Below are 19013 nucleotides of genomic sequence, written 5' to 3'. Positions count from 1 at the left end.
AAAATATATTTTAAAAGCAAGTTCATTAAAGCTACACTAAATAATTTATCCATTTATTTAATTTTTAGAGGAATTTTTTAATATAAACATATATGTACATCATTCAAAGTAGTAATATTTGTCTTAACTATATTGGTATAGTGCTTTTAAGTCTATAACATATTAACATATGGTAGTATTGCCTTTAAAGTGTTGTAGAAATACACCTGAAGCACTCTACAAGACACCAATTGGGGTAGAAAGAGAAAAATTTCACTATCTTTTCTGCATAACCAATGTCTTTAAAAAGGTTTGAATAGGCTTTGTAAACTGAGAAGATCATTAACTTCCTATGTGTGGTAATATCTGTACACATATAGTGGTTTTAGCATCCTCTTATAAATTTGTTTTCTATATGAAAGAAATTAAATTCATTAAATAGAATGACCCTTCAAAAACTTGCCAACTCACATAGTTTCATACCACTGGGACTAAAAATATTTACAGAACTTCCTCTGGCCAGGTATTGCCTTAAGTAAGTGTAGCCCTGCTTTCCACAAATTGGAAAGAAATTGGGAGTCTTCAGAAGCTCCCATGTTCTTGGGGGTTGTAATACTTTCTGAAGCATGAAACGTGGCCCTGAGCAACCAGGTGCTGTTTCTAACAGCGAAAATGTTACCTATTGAAGGTCTCCAGTGCCACCTACTGGTAGAGGAGTAATTTGGAAAAGCAGAATCTTAAAATGTAAAAAAGCTATTTTTTTGCTGTTTATTCTACAGATGATGAGTCAGTGTCATTTGGAGGCTTACAGAGTGACAGCTAGCTAAACAGAAATGATGAATAATTAGTTTAACAATGATATTGTCTGTTATTCATTTAAGCATCTGTGCAATTTTAATTCTACCATTTATTGTTTCCCTGCTATTGAGATATTACCCTAGGTGCTGGGGTGCAGATCTTGCTCTTGCCTTTAAGGAGCTTGACATGTAGGTGAGGAGATGCATGCACACAACTATATCCCAAGGTTGTAAGTGCTATTAACAGGCCCACGTACTCATCATTCTCTGTCTGGGAGAGAGCCAGAGAAAGATGTGTGAACTGAGCATTGAAAAATATGTAGGATCATTGAACACAGTGGCATCCTATGATGAGAAAACAACATCTCCAAGTCATCAAAACTTGCAATAATGCTTCATGTGCTAGAAGCAAGTGGTTTAAGTACAGTTGGAAAGTGATATCATGAGTGGGTAAGAAGGCTGGATAATACAGCAAAGGCCGTGCTAAAGTTTTTGGTATTCTATGCTGAAGATTTTGGAATTGATCTTGTTTACATTTAGGAGACACTGCAGGATTTTTAAGCCCCTGGGTACCATGATCAGGTTTACTTTTTAGAAGTGATACTGTGATAGGGAAAGAAGGGATGGACAGATGTGGGAGGCAAGACTGGCAGTCAGGAACTGGAGAGAGATTATTACAATAGGCCTGGAGAGCGTGGATGAGGCCCTCAGCCAGGGCAGTCAGGAGAGACAAGTGGGGTATTGCAGAAGTAGTAATATGGGAGAAGAATGGCCTCAAAGAAGACACGAGAGGCTAATGAGTAACGCAGATCATGGCATCACAGCCACAAGCACCAAGTCCACTACCAAGAAAAGTTTTACCTGTTAACTCACTTATTGTGTGCAGTTCATGTCCAGTGGCAGTTCATGTGTATCCTGGTGCCTCATTCAGTTCACCAAAGGAAGAAGCTGTCAGTAGAAATAAGCAGAGAACCTTGTAAGAGGATGTACCATTGATGATCTCACACACACACACACACACACACACACACACACACACCCCTTCACACAAACTAAATAGGGGTGGTGTTTCATGTTATATCACATGGCACTGTCTTTTGGCGTGTTATTGAAGACAACGTTGCTTCCATCTGTGATGTTAGATATTCTTGCTATAATGACTGACTTGTGCCAGTGGCTTATAAAGCCCTTCCATGTGTGTTATATCATTTAATTCTCACAGCAATTATATGCAACGAATAGCCCATAAATTATTACGCATGCCATTTTACAAATGAAAAGACTAATCCAGAAAGCTTAAATGACATTTCCAAGGCCACACAGCTGACAAGTTGTAGTGTCAAGATTTCATTTTCTTTATATGTATATATTTTGATGGAGTCTTGCTCTGTCACCAGGCTGGAGATCTCGGCTCACTGCAACCTCCCCCTCCCGGGTTCAAGCTATTCTCCTGCCTGAGCCTCCTGAATAGCTGGGATTATAGGTGTGTGCCACCACACCTGGCTAATTTTTGTATTTTCAGGAGAGACTAGGTTTCACCACGTTCGTCAGGCTGTTCTCGAACTCCTGACCTCGTGATCTGCCCGCCTCAGCCTCCCAAAGTGCTGGGATTACAGGTGTGAAGCACCGCGCCTGGCCAGGATTTCATCTTCTACTTTACCTTACTATCTAAGGAACTGAACAGATTTGTTACTCTAAGAGGAGAACCTGCCATTTATACACATCTACCATCATGGGCAGGAGAGTAACTTTTATAGACAAGTATTGGCATTAAAATGCAGACAAATGCTAGATGATTGGACTATTAGAAGATCATCTTGGATGGTTTTGAGACCAAGAAGTGGTATAGTGACTGTGCTCCAAAAACAAGATGGCTTTGATTTTGGCTATTCAAACAGTTAACTAAAATTAAAGTGCATATCACCTACAATTATTACAACACAATAACCTGCTACTTTACTGTAATTTGGGTTTTTACTTTCTATTATTTTAAGATGGTTCAAATCCTTATATAGAAATAGCTAGCTTTATTATAATGTCTTATAACTGCCACTCTGAAAAGAGTCAAATGTATCTAAGATGCTCAAATACCATAATAAATCACCCTCTTTATTTAAAAAATTATTTTCTCTACAATTATTTGTGCCATATATACTGCGTACTGAAACCTTTTGCTCATTAGTAACAAAGATAGAGATTTTTTTTCTACAGCCTTCAAAGGTATCTATTTTAGACTTTTCATATCTTGATCTTCTCAGCTCTCTTTTTGATTGATTTTTCTGCAAACCAAAAGTGGAGATTTTTCTCATTTCCTGTCCCAGAAGGCAACTACAAGCCCAGATCAAACCTTTCCTGATGACTCTTCTTAGGACTGTCTTTTTCTCAAAGTCACTGAATATGTCAAAATCTTGTCTCTGCTTCCACTGCATGACATGCAAATGTCTAAAGAGAATGTAACTGAAGTTCTATCATTTTAAACATTACAACCAGTTCAACCTTAGGACAAGCTATATTTTTCTATCATTACATTTCCTTCTTGAAGATGAAAGGAAATCATTTAACAATAGTAGATATGGCATGCCCAGAGAAAAGTATCATGTTATTAAGTCAAATATGAAATGTAGGCACTAGTATTATTAACATTGTGTTTGCAGGTAAATTGTAAAAATCCACTCATTTTTGTGGTTGAAGTATCTCTTTTCTTTTGTGTCGCAGATCTAAAAGTGTCGTGGTACAGCAAAGACAAGAAAATCAAGCCATCTCGGTTCTTTAGAATGACTCAATTTGAAGACACTTATCAACTGGAAATTGCCGAAGCTTATCCAGAAGATGAAGGAACTTACACGTTTGTTGCTAGTAATGCTGTAGGCCAAGTATCAAGCACAGCCAACCTGAGTCTGGAAGGTAAAGTAAAACAACTTTCAGAACCCCATTTAAATATAGATCGAATCTTAACAATGTCTGTAACAATTACTCAAGAGTTCATGTAAATCATTGTTGTTCCTACCATTCTCTTCTAATTCAACTAATTATTTCCCTGTTATATGCCATGGTCTCGCCTCTCCTTTACCACTTTTCATTGTGAATCATAGACCATCACGTTTCATTTGGCCCCGCTTTTTCTCTGTAACAATTTGTAATGTATTGCTGCTGTCACCAGCTGTCATGCTTCCTAATCAGCATGAATCAGAAGGGGGCGAAATATGCTGCATAAATAGGTAGATTTGTTTTCTCAATTGGCTAAGATAAAAATTAAATTTTAAAAACATCTAAGAGTGTTATCATCCTCCTATCATGCTGACACAATTTTGATTTCACAAAAGCTAGACCGTTTCAGGTCTGTACACCAGCGAGCTATATTCATCCTCCTCTCAAGAATGTCTTAGTGTTAAGAAGTCCAGTCCTAAAGTGGTTTAACATTTCTGTTAGTTGGGGCTCTTAAATTGTAATCAGAAACACTTCCTCAGTAACATGGGGAATTTGATTCAAACAAGGATAGCATTTTTATATAGTGGTACTATTTTTCCTGAGCAAATATAGTCTATGTAGTATTAAGTACATACAAATACATAAGGATTTAGAGAAACTATTTTTTTCTTAACCTTATGCATTAACTGTAACTAGATGTTTTTTTAAATAATGAATTTAAAGTGGTTTAAAATTAAAAAGTTGACTTTACAACAAGAGGAAGAAAGAAAAGAATATCCAAAACCCTGTTGGGTACTCCACTATTGCCTTCATGAACAATGTAGTGAAGTTCCTTAGCCCATTCATGTCTCAGCTTGCTTCTCTGGGAAATGGAAGTGAACTTGTGTGACTTCGAGTCAATAGTGACATACAAGGACAAGGCAGTAGGAGTGGACTGAATTCTAGTCCATTATTGAAATTTGTGACAAATCTGTAGACAACTCCAAATGAGTTCTGGTTTCAGTGCAAGGTAAGACATTAAAAATTGGTATGCTTCTTTTCAGGATTTAGCAAATTTGAAGAAAATACATCAAACTCCCAATGGCATGTCTCTTTATCAGTTTCATTTAAGAAGGAGCCCCTTGGCCAAAAGCCCAGCTTCATCCAGCCTCTGTCAAGCCTCAGGGTGCACAACGGGGAGACAGTCAGATTTCATGCGAGGGTTTCTGGCATTCCCAAGCCAGAAATCCAATGGTTTCATAACCAGCAGCTAATTCTACCAACAAAAGATGTAGTTTTCCATTTTGAGGAGTCCACAGGCATGGCTTTAATGCTTATAGTTGATGCTTACTCAGAGCATGCTGGGCAGTACTCTTGCAAAGCAGCCAATAGTGCTGGGGAAGCCACTTGTGCAGCTACACTCACAGTGACTCCAAAAGGTAAAGCCCATCTTGCTTCAAGGACTTTGATTTGCTGTATACCTCTCAGTCCCACTGTTACTAATGAGAGTCTCTGCTGTTTGTTTTATTGCATACTGTGGTCAGTCCATAACTTACTAATAAAATAACATGCAATAACTCCCGCTAGGTCCTCAATTATGGGTTAACCTACATACTTTAAATTTCACTGAAGTATGTGTTCTATGCACTAGAGAACCAATAATTATTTTATTAGGCACCACCTTTGCTTGGCTTCTTTACTCTTCTAAGCAATATTGTATCATTGCATCATTAAATGATCTATTTGCTGATTATTACTTACTGTACTTAAAGTAAGTACAGTATTACTTACTGTACTTAAAGTAAGTACAGTATTACTTACTGTACTTAAAGCATACAGTGGACGGAGAGCAAATGCTAACCCAAATACAGTCAGCTAGAGGGAGAGAGAGAAAGACAGACTGGGTCACTTTGGATAGCTGAAATGACAACAGAAAGAAGGAACCAGATACTGCATGGCATCTGCATGAGTCTTCATCAACCACTCAGCACTGAATCACCAGGAATGAATTTTCTTTTGTGTGATCCTGACATCTAGATCATATTGCATCTGGCATGCTGCTTTCAAGTGACAACTACGTCTTTCATCTTCATCTTCCATGCCATTTTGTGTTACTAACATGGGCAAGTGACAAAGCTTAGATCTTAATATTCTTTTCTTTTTCTTGTCACTTGATTATACAGTGCAAGCCCTAGATAGGCAAAGTTCTGGGAAAGATGTAAGAGAGTCCACCAAGTCCCAGGCAGTGGCAGATTCCTCTTTCACAAAGGAGGAGAGCAAAATATCTCAAAAGGAAATTAAGTCATTTCAAGGATCATCATATGAATATGAAGTGCAGGTTTTTGAAAGTGTATCTCAAAGTTCCATCCACACAGCTGCATCTGTTCAAGATACACAGTTGTGCCATACTGCATCCCTTTCACAAATTGCAGAAAGCACTGAGCTATCTAAGGAATGTGCTAAAGAGTCCACGGGTGAGGCGCCCAAGATTTTCCTGCATCTTCAGGACGTCACTGTAAAGTGCGGTGACACGGCTCAATTCCTCTGTGTTTTAAAAGATGATTCTTTCATTGATGTAACCTGGACTCACGAAGGTGCAAAGATAGAGGAATCCGAGAGACTGAAACAATCACAAAATGGAAATATTCAGTTTCTTACCATATGTAATGTTCAGCTGGTAGACCAAGGACTATACAGCTGCATTGTACACAATGACTGTGGAGAGAGGACAACGTCAGCAGTACTAAGTGTAGAAGGTGGTTAATTGATTTTTAGCTATGACTTGCTTCATTTCATCCTCATCGCTTTATGCAGCTTTTCTGCCATGCAAATTCAATCGACGAATATATTAATTAGAATATCTCTAAATTAGCACCCTATTCATAAGTGACTTCTGAAAGTCAGCCAAGTCATTGGCCATGATTATCCTGAAAATTTAACTTACCAGTCTAGATTCAGAAAGTTTAATTTTTAAACGTAGGTTCGGGAAGCAAAGGTTTATTTCCTATGTGCTGCATTTTCTAATATTTACCAACGCACTACCAAGAAAGTGTAGCAAAGTTAAAATGTTGTATTCTGAGAAGTACTTATTGGGTATTTATTATTGTGCCAGATACTGTGGTAAATTTCAGTTTAATTGTTTTAATAGCAAGAGGTTCAACAATTCTTATCTCCTCTTTATTTTCACATCTGGAGGTTCTAGTTGTTTACAAAGGGGCCATGAAAATAGAAAATTGGGACCAAGTACAGTGACTCATGCCTGTAATCCCAGCACTTTGGGAGGCCGAGGCAGCCAGATCACTTGAGGTCAGGAGTTTGAGACCAGCCTGGCTAATATGGTGAAACCCCATCTCTACTAAAAATACAAAAATTAGCCAGGCATGTTGGATGTTGGTGCATGCCTGTAATCCCAACTACTCAGGAGGCTGAGGCCAGGAGAATCGCTTGAACCCAGGAGGCAGAGGTTGCAGTGAGCCGAAATAGGGTCACTGTACTCCAGCCTGGGCAACAGAACTAGACTCCATCTCCAAAAAAGAAAAATAGAAAATTGAAAATTGGGCACTGAAAATAACAAAGCTCTCTCTGGACCAAAATTAGAAGTCTCTAGATATTTCTCCATAAATGATGCTGCTTTTACAGGCTTAAAATCCTCCTGGAATTGTATAATTTTCTCATGGCAAGATCACAATTTTTGTCGTTATTGGGCTTGATTCTCCATTATGTCTGGAAGAGCAGGAATAAACTTGTCTGGGCAAGTAATAACTTCTTCCTCTTATCCATGGACTTTCCTTTTGGATATTAATGAAATGAGAAAAATATTTTTCAGGTGCCATAAGCCTGTGTTGTGTGCCCGTAGTCAAAACAGCTTCACTGAGTCTCATGGAAGGAAGCTGGTGGAATAAATTCAGGCATCTCCAGGGGTCTGTGGAAAGCTCTGGCCTCAAGTTCCTCCCTGATCCTGGCCATAGTGGTGTTAGGGATGAAAAGGGGGCAATGCAGTGCTATGTAGGTGCACAGCCATCTCTGCACAGAATTTTGAAACAGTGGCCTTTCTTCCTACCCAGTACAGAGAATACAGTTTATTGATTCATATAATGTATCCGCAACACCTACTCACCAAAAAGAGGTCTTATTCTTTCTTAATGAGATTTTGTTCTATAGCTATCTCTCATTCTGTCACCGTAGCCTACAAAGGCAATATCTCAAGAACTGAGGTCTAGTTATGTAAATTAGATAGAAAATTCCACCAGCCAGAGAGTTGACCCTCAATTTCACTACAGCTGCTGGCTAGCACAGTAATCACACAGAGTCACTATTTATTTGGAGGTGTTGTCTACAAGTCCTGTAGGTGACAGTGTGACAATTTTTTCAGTAATGTAATTGGGAGTTGGCTGTGTTGTGAAGGTGGGAGAAATGTAGATCTCTTAACTCACTTCCTAAAGAATCTAGTGCTATAGTGCGGTGTTTGACTGTCATATTCCCAGAATTGATTTGAACTCGGCTCTTTTGCCCTAGGATCTCCAGTTCATTCAGTTCCAATTGATAATATTATTAAAGTGTTCTTGAAGCAAAAGAATTTTTTTGAACATCCAACTGCCTTACTTGTACCTAAGAAAGTTGAAAGATAAGACATTTTTAGATGTTTGAAGAGTGAAAGATCAGGCACAGTTGTCTAATTATTTGACATAGGCCAGTCTTTATATGTTCCTTTTTTATTTTGGCTTAATAAGTTCATATAGGCTACAGAGTTATCCACCAAGATCAAGTAGGAATGTCAAACCCCTGGAAGTCTTTTTGAATACAGTTATTATGTGCATAATAAACATAAACATATCATATATAAGTTTCATGACTAACATGCTGCCTTTCCTTCTCATCCTAATGACATTCCATCTTCTCCACATTCAGCATGTTTTTCATTCTTACAAACACAGCTAATTTATGCCTTTCCCTAACTTTATTCTTACCTAGCAAAAGAATCGCAAGCCAGAGCACTTACAAAAATTACTCTGGGTTCTGACACTAAAAGTATTAAAACACTCAGAGAGTCACAAATTAAAACAACCCGTGAAGTAAAAAGAGAATCGTCAAAGAAAACATCAAGTTTGTCATTAACTTCATGCCAAAAACCGTAAGAAACTGAGAACAAGGGAATAAAGTCTACTGACAGGATACCACGTGGACTGAAGACTGAGAGTGATACGAGAGCCCCAGCCTTTCCCAAGGAGCTGCCCTAGATATGACTGTGTCTAAAAGCTGTGCATATTCCTTGTGGAATAAAAACAGTTTTGATAAGTCTTTGTTTTGTTTCTTAATATGTAATTTGGACTTCATGTAGTTCAAAGTTTGAAAGGTGATTCAAATCAAAGGAGTGTTTACTAGCAGGAAAAACTGAGAATAGCCCTCTGCTAAAGTAGCAATTTAGAAAATGCATGTTCTTTCTAAATGTGATTTCATCTCTTAGCAAGTGTTTAGTCAATAGGACATTTTTTAGAAAATAATATTCCTTCGGTTTGTAGATTGCTTTCTGCATGCATGTAAAGGCATGGGGAATTATAGAACTAAAAGTGGAAATTTCATGAAGAACCTAAAATAAAAATGTTTTAAATCTTTCTGTCAACATTGTCATGTGTTTTATCAGCTCAATAGTTTGTTTGGCATGGACTTTTTGGTAAATTTGGGGAATGTAGTTTTCTGTTGTTATAATAAAAAGAAAACTTTAATCATACAAGTCATGAATTGATGCAGAAAATATATGCAATTAATCACTAAAATCTCTTTATATGTTTTTCTATTTTAGCTCCTGAATCAATTTTGCATGAGAGGATTGAACAAGAGATTGAGATGGAAATGAAAGGTATTGTTATAATGGATGTGAGATTTAAGTAGAAATTCTAAAGGATTAATAGGATCCTTGAGTTGCCTTCTTTCTCTTAGTATTATTGAGAAAAAAATGACATAGATATACAAATATATCTCTTAGAGTATATATTACTATGTCGCATGCTTGGTTTAGAATTTTGATGGTTACATGCATTTCACAGTAATTTATTGTAAGTTAATTTAAAATTTTGTATTTAAAATTTATCAGCCAAATTCAACTTTATGTTTGCAGTCATTTCCAAAAGTGTATATTAGGAGAAGTTGTCATCTTAATGCATGAAATCATGAAGTAGAAGTTTGTTTTCAAAATCACGGTGAATTACATTGAAAATAGACAATAACCTAGCTGTCATTCTCAGAATGCAATGTCATGAATGAATTATGATTGAAATGCTACTTTACTGAGGTTGTGTGAAAACATTACATTCCCATCTGGTTTACACTTCATTCACATATATCATTTTAACATTGATATGTCTCTTACACTGGCTTGCAGATAGCTGCCTTATGTGATCCTTATTGCCTGCTTTTCTTTGCATAACATTGTGACTTTATGGCTGTATTAGTTCGAATAAACGCCTTCTCATTTTATTTTAGCTAATTATTTATGGTTATAGTTCTTGTATATACTCTTTAAATAGTTGATTCTCAAAAATATAATAATTTAATCTACAATCAAAAGAATCAGAAAGGGCGTTTATTCCACTCTCTGCAAGTCAGGTAAGATTTTCCACTTAGCCATCAAAAGAACAAAGTTTTCCTGCTCTCAAAACAAATATGCACAGGAACATGTTATTTTGAAATGCATTTTTGCTTGTTCAAGAAGAAATTTCAACAGTTTGAAGAAAAGACCAGACAACGAACGATTTTCGTGTCAGAATCTTTTAAACAGAGCATGGTGTTGCGTTTATTCGAACAAATATGGTGAGTGAATTTTTCTATGGATTTGTGAGATCTGTAGCATGCAATTTATTTCATTTCCTATTTTGCAATTTTATTTACTTTCAACTTTTTCAAGTTCTATGGAAAATAGTAAAGGTTTTTTTTTTTTTTTCCAGAATTATTCTCTGAGGGGGAATCTGAACATTCAGAAAGGGATACACGTGACGCCTTTTCAGATTCTGAAGACATAGACCACAAATCCATGGCTGCTAAAAGATATGCAAGTAGAATATCATCTACAAGCTCCTGGCCTGAATATTTTAAGCCTTCTTTTACCCAGAAACTTACATTTAAATATGTTTTAGAGGGTGAACCGGTTGTTTTTACATGTAGATTAATTGCCTGTCCAACTCCAGAAATGACTTGGTTTCATAACAATCGGCCCATCCCAACAGGTCTTCGTCGGATTATAAAAGCTGAGAGTGATTTACACCATCACTCTTCCAGCTTAGAGATTAAAAGGGTCCAAGACAGAGATTCTGGAAGTTATAGGTTACTAGCAATTAATAGTGAAGGGTCTGCAGAATCAACTGCATCATTGCTTGTTATCCAAAAAGGGCAAGATGAGAAATATTTAGAATTTCTGAAAAGAGCAGAACGGACACATGAAAATGTGGAGGCTTTAGTTGAAAGGGGAGAAGATAGGATAAAGGTTGACCTGAGGTTTACTGGCTCTCCCTTTAACAAAAAACAAGATGTGGAACAAAAGGGAATGATGAGAACTATACATTTTAAGACAATGAGTTCTGCCAAGAAAACAGATTACATGTATGATGAAGAATATTTAGAAAGTAAATCTGACATAAGAGGTTGGCTTAATGTAGGTGAAAGTTTCCTGGACAAGGAGACCAAAGTGAAGTTGCAACGTTTAAGGGAGGCTAGAAAAACATTAATGGAGAAAAAGAAATTATCTCTTTTAGATACGTCTTCTGAAATAAGCTCAAGAACTTTGAGAAGTGAAGCTAGTGATAAAGATATTCTGTTCTCTAGAGAGGACATGAAAATCAGATCTATGTCTGATCTAGCTGAAAGTTATAAGGTAGATCATTCAGCTGAGAGTATTGTGCAAAATCCACATGCCCTTTCTAATCAAATGGATCAAAATATAGAATCTGAGGAACTTCCCACAAGCTTTCAAACTATTGTTGATGAAGAAATTTTCCAGACTGAAATAAGAATGAGCCAAGAAGCACTGGTAAAGGAAAGTCTACCAAAAGACCATTTATATGGTGAAATTCTAGTAAATGAAAATACCCAAGCAAGAGGACAGCTGGAAGAAATTATGGCCAATACTACAATTGGAGAGTCATCCACATATATCACTAATGTATGTGAGAAGGAGGAAGTATATGAGACTCCTGAAAATGTGTCTCAAGCTATTACACCACATGCCAGCGAATCTTTTGGTACACTTGTAAATGTTGAAGAAAGTGAAGAAATAGCTAGTGAAAGAATAAAAAAGGATGATTTGAGAGAATTACAACTCTCTGCTTCTACACGAATTGATGAATTCAAAACCGAACAGAAGGAAGAAAACATGAGATTTTTTGAAAATTCTTTTCGAAAACGCCCACAACGTTGCCCACCTTCATTTCTTCAAGAAATTGAATCTCAAGAAGTTTATGAAGGTGACAGTTGTAATTTTGTGTGTCATTTTCAAGGATATCCTCAACCTATAGTGACGTGGTATAACAATGACATGCCAATCCCACGTAATCAAAACTTTATCATTCATTCGTTGGAAAACTATTCAATATTAACTCTTTCATCTGTTCATCATCAGAATGAAGGTTCTATTACTTGTGTGCTATTTAACCAATATGGAACAGTAAAAACAACCAGTATGCTTAAAGTGAAAGCAAAACAAAAACATGATGTCAAAGCACATAAAGTCCCAGTGTTCCATGACTACTTGGATGAGGAAGAAGAGTTAGCATTGGTGTTTGACCAAGCAAAAGGCGCCCATCCATCTATGAGTCAAGAGGGCCAAACAAATCTTCATTTGTTAAAAACTAACCCACCAGTTCCTCCCTCTGGAGACACAGAATTGCTTTCCTTTCCTGTAGAAATTCAGGTAACAGCAGCTACTCCTATCCCAGAACAGGATAAAGAGTCTAAAGAAGTGTTTCAAACTGAGGAGCTGGAACCTAAAGCAATGCCTCAAGATCAAGTTACTCAATCACCAAAACACAGATTTGTATTTTTGTCTGATATTACTAATGAACCACCAAAAATGTTACAAGAAATGCCAAAGCATGCCAGGTGTAGAGAAGGGGATTCCATCATTCTTGAATGTTTAATATCTGGTGAGCCCCAGCCAGTTGTAACATGGTTTCAAAATGGAGTCCTTTTAAAGCAGAACCAGAAGTTTCAGTTTGAAGAAGTTAATTGTAGCCACCAATTATATATTAAGGATGTTAATTCTCAAGATTCTGGAAAATATAAATGTGTTGCTGAAAACAATTCAGGGGCAGTTGAAAGTGTTTCAGATCTAACAGTGGAGCCTGTCACTTATAGAGAAAATAGTCAATTCGAAAATATTGGTGAAATTTATGGAAAATATTCCAGAGATCAGCAACTGCAAGACCAGGGAGAATCTGTAAGGGCACATTTTTATGATTATCCAGCTGGTCCCTTTACTCCCTGGACAAATGTAAAAGAATATTCAGTAAGGGACTATTTTCAAAGCCTTGAGACTATTGAGCAAATAGACCAGAAAGAGCAGGTGCGTTGCATACCTTCTAGAGAAAAAATTCCCAGATTTGTGCATGGTGCTTCAAGAACCATAAAAATCAGCAAGCCCATCAGGGCTGAATTCATACAATGTCAGGCTGAAGGGAAAGAGAGACATGTAAGTGAAAAATCAAAGCTGCACCAAGCAGAGGGTACTGTTTATCCATTTGTTGATGATTTCAGTGATGTCACTATTAAGAAAGAAATAAGAAATAATTTTGGAAAACTTGGTAGATCAGAAAAGGAAAATGTACAAGAATGTGCCCAAAGTGACTATTTACCAAATATTCACTCTGAGAGAATTTCTGACAGTTACAATACAAAAGATTCATCTGCCATTGTATATGAAGAATCCCTTGGTGAAGAGATACACTACCCGGGGAAAAAGGTGAAGCATAGAATTATCGAATTTGAAAAATTACATGTAGAAAAAGGAGTTCTAGAAAAAAGACCTACCAGAACATCAATTGTTAATCCTCCTCAAAAGAAGATTGATGACAAAGCCTTTTCATTAAAGCAAAGAGAATCAAGATCAAGCAATCTAAATGCAAATATGTATCAGGCAGAGAAAATGTCTCCAAATACTGAATCAGATTCATCTAACATTGCAATAAATTTAAAGCTGCTTTCCTCTCAAACTCATAAAGAATTTGACGCACAAGAAAGGGAACAACAGGAAAAAATAAGTCTTATAGATAAACCTGCAATTTCTAAAAGAGCTGAACATGAATCACCTATTACATTTGACTTAAAGCAGTTTCACACTCAAATAAAACACACAGATGTGAAATTCCAAGAATTAGATAGTGGTCAACCAGAAGAAGCTTATTTTAAAATCCAACATCCTGCTGACACTGAGAACATTGTATTTGATCTAAAACAAATGTATTCTCATATAGGAGATCCAGCTCTGGAGTTCCAAGGGCAAGAAACTAGGGAACAGCAGGAAATACATTATAAAGAAAAAATTCCTAGCCCTGAAACGTTACAACCTGACACACACAATATCTCTAAAAGTGTGCAAAATAATGTATTTGCCAGTCAAGAAATTTCTTCCAGTCAAGAGCTTTCAAATAGAACTATGGTGGAGAAAAGTAGTATTGATGAAAATTCCATTTCTTTAGAAAAAGAAGTCCGACATGTACAGGAACAAAACTTAGACATTTTAAAAACTGATCTTTCTCTTAAATCCTTTTCTGAAGAAATCTATAGTGAATCATGTGCCCTACTTCCAACCTCATCTGCAGATATAGAAGAAACTGATCTTTCTGAGAAAAGTTGTCCTCTAGAAAATGGAGGCAGAAGTTCCATCTCACATTTGAAAAAAGCAGCAAGTGAGGAAAAGCCTTTAGGGGTTGGTGAAATGGAAGAAGAATGCACTCTAGAACCAGAGTTGGCAGCATTTCCAAAGCAGGATGGTGGGACACAGGAATATACAGATGCCACTTTGGAAGACCACAGAGGTGATGTTCAGGAAGCTGACACACTCCATAGACAGCTCTCCCTGAGTCAGTGCTTCCCACTCTTGATGACTGAAGAACAACAGAATCCAGGTGAACAAATAAGTACAAACATTCATGCCTCTGGAGAAGAAAAATGTTATGAAGAAGTTCAAGTTCAGAATGAAGCTTCTTTCTCCACTTTAGAAGGAGAAATGATAGAAACTAGTTTTTCTCAAAATATTCCTAAATTAGATGAGGCACATACCACTGAGGCAGCAGAATCTGAGACCTCCCTAACACAATATTTACTTGCTGCTGGAAAGCGTGAGGTTCCTGAAACTAAAGACACCAGAGACCAGGCAAAGCTTGTCCAGAGTGAATCAATCACTTCAATGGAGGTGGAAGAAGTAACTTTCAACACTGTGTATGAATACTACAACCAGAAACAGGAATCACTAGGTCGTCCACTTTCTCCTGAGTCTGACATTTCCATTGGTGTGGGAAGTACAACCAGTGAAGAAATATCTGAGTTAGATCAGTTTTATACCCCACCATCATCTGTTGAATATTTTGAATCTCCAAAGTCCCCTGACTTATATTTTAATCCTTCAGATATAACTAAACAATCCTCAATACATTCAGGAGGTGAGACAGTTGAAAGATATTCCACACCTTTAGGGGAAGTTGCTGAAAGATATTCAACACCTTCCGAAGGTGAGGTAGGAGAAAGATACTCCACACCCCCAGGGGAGACACTAGAGAGATACTCCACACCTCCAGGAGAGACTCTAGAGAGATACTCCACACCCCCAGGAGAGACTCTAGAGAGATATTCCACACCCCCAGGAGAGACTCTGGAGAGATACTCCACACCCCCAGGAGAGACTCTAGAGCGATATTCCACACCCCCAGGGGAGGCACTAGAGAGATATTCTATTCCTACTGGAGGACCAAACCCCACTGGTACTTTTAAAACATATCCATCAAAAATAGAAAGGGAAGACGGTACACCAAATGAGCATTTCTACACACCTACAGAAGAGAGGGGTTCAGCTTATGAAATATGGCGTTCCGATTCATTTGGTACACCCAATGAAGCCATTGAGCCAAAAGACAATGAAATGCCTCCATCTTTTATTGAACCTCTGACCAAAAGGAAGGTATATGAAAACACAACACTAGGCTTCATTGTTGAAGTTGAAGGTCTTCCAGTTCCTGGTGTGAAATGGTATCGAAATAAATCTTTACTAGAGCCAGATGAAAGAATCAAAATGGAAAGAGTGGGTAATGTGTGTTCACTGGAAATTTCTAACATTCAAAAAGGAGAAGGGGGAGAGTACATGTGTCATGCTGTAAACATCATAGGGGAAGCAAAGAGCTTTGCAAATGTAGACATAATGCCCCAGGAAGAAAGAGTGGTGGCACTACCACCTCCAGTAACACATCAGCATGTCATGGAGTTTGATTTGGAACACACCACATCATCAAGAACACCTTCTCCTCAAGAAATTGTCCTGGAAGTTGAATTAAGTGAAAAAGACGTTAAAGAATTTGAGAAGCAGGTGAAAATAGTGACAGTTCCCGAATTTACTCCTGACCATAAAAGTATGATTGTGAGTCTAGATGTTCTTCCATTTAATTTTGTAGATCCAAATATGGATTCAAGGGAGGGAGAAGACAAAGAACTAAAAATTGATTTAGAAGTATTTGAAATGCCTCCTCGCTTTATAATGCCTATTTGTGATTTTAAAATTCCAGAAAATTCAGATGCTGTATTCAAATGTTCAGTCATAGGGATCCCGACTCCCGAAGTTAAGTGGTATAAAGAATATATGTGTATTGAGCCAGATAATATTAAATACGTGATTAGCGAGGAGAAGGGAAGTCACACTCTTAAAATTCGAAATGTCTGTCTTTCTGATAGTGCAACATACAGGTGCAGAGCTGTGAATTGTGTAGGAGAGGCTATCTGTCGGGGATTCCTCACCATGGGAGATTCTGAAATATTTGCTGTGATAGCAAAGAAAAGCAAAGTGACTTTAAGCAGTTTAATGGAAGAATTGGTCTTAAAGAGCAACTACACAGACAGTTTTTTTGAATTTCAGGTGGTGGAAGGGCCTCCCAGGTTTATCAAAGGTATTTCTGACTGTTATGCACCAATAGGTACAGCAGCATATTTTCAGTGCTTAGTTCGTGGCTCTCCAAGACCCACGGTTTACTGGTACAAAGATGGAAAATTAGTCCAAGGAAGAAGGTTCACTGTTGAGGAAAGTGGCACAGGGTTCCATAACCTGTTTATAACAAGCTTAGTAAAGAGTGATGAAGGAGAGTATAGGTGTGTAGCTACAAACAAATCAGGAATGGCTGAGAGCTTTGCAGCACTCACCTTAACTTAAAATGTAATGTTTTAGTGCCTCAGTAATTATTAGCATTGATCTGAGTGCTTTCATATTTTCCAAATTATGTGGATCTAATAAACTTCCAAACAGGTCCACCATATTTGAATTCATTACCTTGGAGACCCCTAAAGAAATAATCTCTATGTAGAAATCTCATCTTTGTAATACATGTAAATATTTTGTTATCTGAACTGTGGAATCATCACTTGTGTCAATCATGCTGTGTAATATCAAACACAATTAAATCTCTCCTTGGCTACCTAATTGTTTGTACTTCTATTTACCCTCATGCCTCCTCCACAAAGTGTTTCAGTGGAATGGACTCTCTTTTAGCAGATAAACCATATATGCAAAAGTACAATGTAAAAGTGGAGACCATATCAGATGACCACGCAGACAAATTGGTAAGGGCAAATCTCTCTGCTCCCATTCTAAGTTATTTTTGGAATTTTAACCCCTTTGCATCCAAACTCATGTTTATTTACTTTGACTTAGAATAGGCAAAACAAACAACAAAAACCAGCTTCTCCCAATTGGCAACTAACTCTATAATCTGTTTGACATTTCAATCTTAATATATTAACTTCATCTCTTTTAAAAATGTTTTCGTTATTAATATTCCTCTTCATAAGTGCTTTAATTCTCACTGGCTTCAAGGGACCAATTGTGCTCTTTGTGGGCAGGGTTCACCTAGACATTTGCAAAATAAGCAAATAGATCTTTCCACTTTTGGAGATACCTTATTTTTCTCCATTTTTGAGATGACATCAAGTGTAAAATGCAGCAATAATTTAGTATTGGCCTGGGGAAAAAAGGGAAACTATCATATTGTGTTTACATATAGATTTTAAAACTGTATTCTGATTTCAGAATCTTTAAAATTTAAAAAAAGGTGGGATATTTTTAGAATTGAGACAATATGGTAATTTGTATTTCAGATTATATATAAATAACAAGATAACAAGCTTTCCTATCAGTTTCACTGAATTTCATCTTTAAAACGAATATAGCTTAATAAGCATTCAATTTTTATTGTGATGTTTATGTTTCTAAAGTAACTCTTTAATTTTGTCTTTTAAAATTAAAATAACAGTAAATTAACATACTCCTTAATATCTTACCTATATACTAATGTGGACCCAAGTCTTCTCATATAAGACTCGACAAATATAAAAAATTCTGAAAATGAAGGGTAGGACCAAAAGACCTTAGAGGTGATCATTCAACAATACAATTCTGTGTTAAGCTAATAGTAATTATTCTTAATACAATTTAGAATAAACTTTAATTTTGTAACAAAGGACGAGAGAAATAATATTACAATGAAAGATAAATTTTATCTCCCTCCACCTCTTAAATTACTTATTGTTACTTAATGGCTACATTTGTCACCTGCATTTAGCAATATTTAAGTACCATTATCATATTTAAAATGCTAATTTTAATTAGAAATGTAAACAATTTAAATTTAATTTTCAAAAGAATTCATATCCAATTATGTTTATTATGTTTCTTTCATCTATCAGTCTTTATTCTCAACATGGGAATTCTCTAACAGCTATCCAAATTAAAGAAGCAATAGAGACAATGTACAGAAAATAGGCAGAGCAGCCAGGCCTCCCCTGCCTCCCTCACAAAAAAAATTTTGAATTATCTGTTTGAGCCACCATAACTCATCAGCATAGATACACTATTGTAGAACAATCATTCCTGTTCCAACCAGTGAGCACACAATATCTGTGATAATAATTATAGACATAATGTAATATATCACATCACAAATTCCTGAAATAAAACTAATTCTATAGATTAGGAACTTAGAGATTTATTCTGCACTTAGTCACATAATGGATGTTAAAATTAACGAGAAACTCAGATTGAGGCAAACATGACAAGCATGCTTTACTCAAACATCATACAGCACAGCAACA

General features: G+C 36.7%; 1 protein-coding gene across 21 annotated transcripts in view, besides 1 other annotated feature; it reads left to right on the top strand.

Annotated features, from left to right (window-relative positions):
• The window catches only part of TTN (titin), a 281435-nt gene that overhangs the window by 44760 nt on the left and 217662 nt on the right, over nt 1-19013 (top strand). For 17 of the 21 annotated variants that reach the window (NM_003319.4, NM_133378.4, XM_017004821.1 and 14 more), the window contains 2 exons: nt 3492-3680; nt 9484-9540. In NM_003319.4, coding sequence (NP_003310.4) covers nt 3492-3680; nt 9484-9540 — 246 coding nt within the window. Of the gene's footprint in view, nt 1-3491; nt 3681-4747; nt 5123-5866; nt 6443-9483; nt 9541-10624; nt 18260-19013 lie in introns of those variants that run through there. The other 4 variants (NM_001267550.2, NM_133437.4, NM_133432.3 and 1 more) reach the window with 4 other exon arrangements.
• Nucleotides 14207-15406: an enhancer, noted in NCBI's record as "CDK7 strongly-dependent group 2 enhancer chr2:179611985-179613184 (GRCh37/hg19 assembly coordinates)". NCBI's record gives its function as "activates an origin of replication core promoter dependent on BRD2, BRD4, P300/CBP, MED14 and CDK7 cofactors, with strong dependence on CDK7, by STARR-seq in HCT116 cells {active_cell/tissue: HCT116}" and the evidence as "EXISTENCE:reporter gene assay evidence [ECO:0000049][PMID:35650434]".

This window comes from Homo sapiens, chromosome 2, assembly GCF_000001405.40.
Source record: "Homo sapiens chromosome 2, GRCh38.p14 Primary Assembly".
Classification (NCBI taxonomy): Eukaryota; Metazoa; Chordata; class Mammalia; order Primates; family Hominidae; genus Homo; species Homo sapiens.
This window is presented reverse-complemented; position numbering and strand designations above follow the sequence as displayed.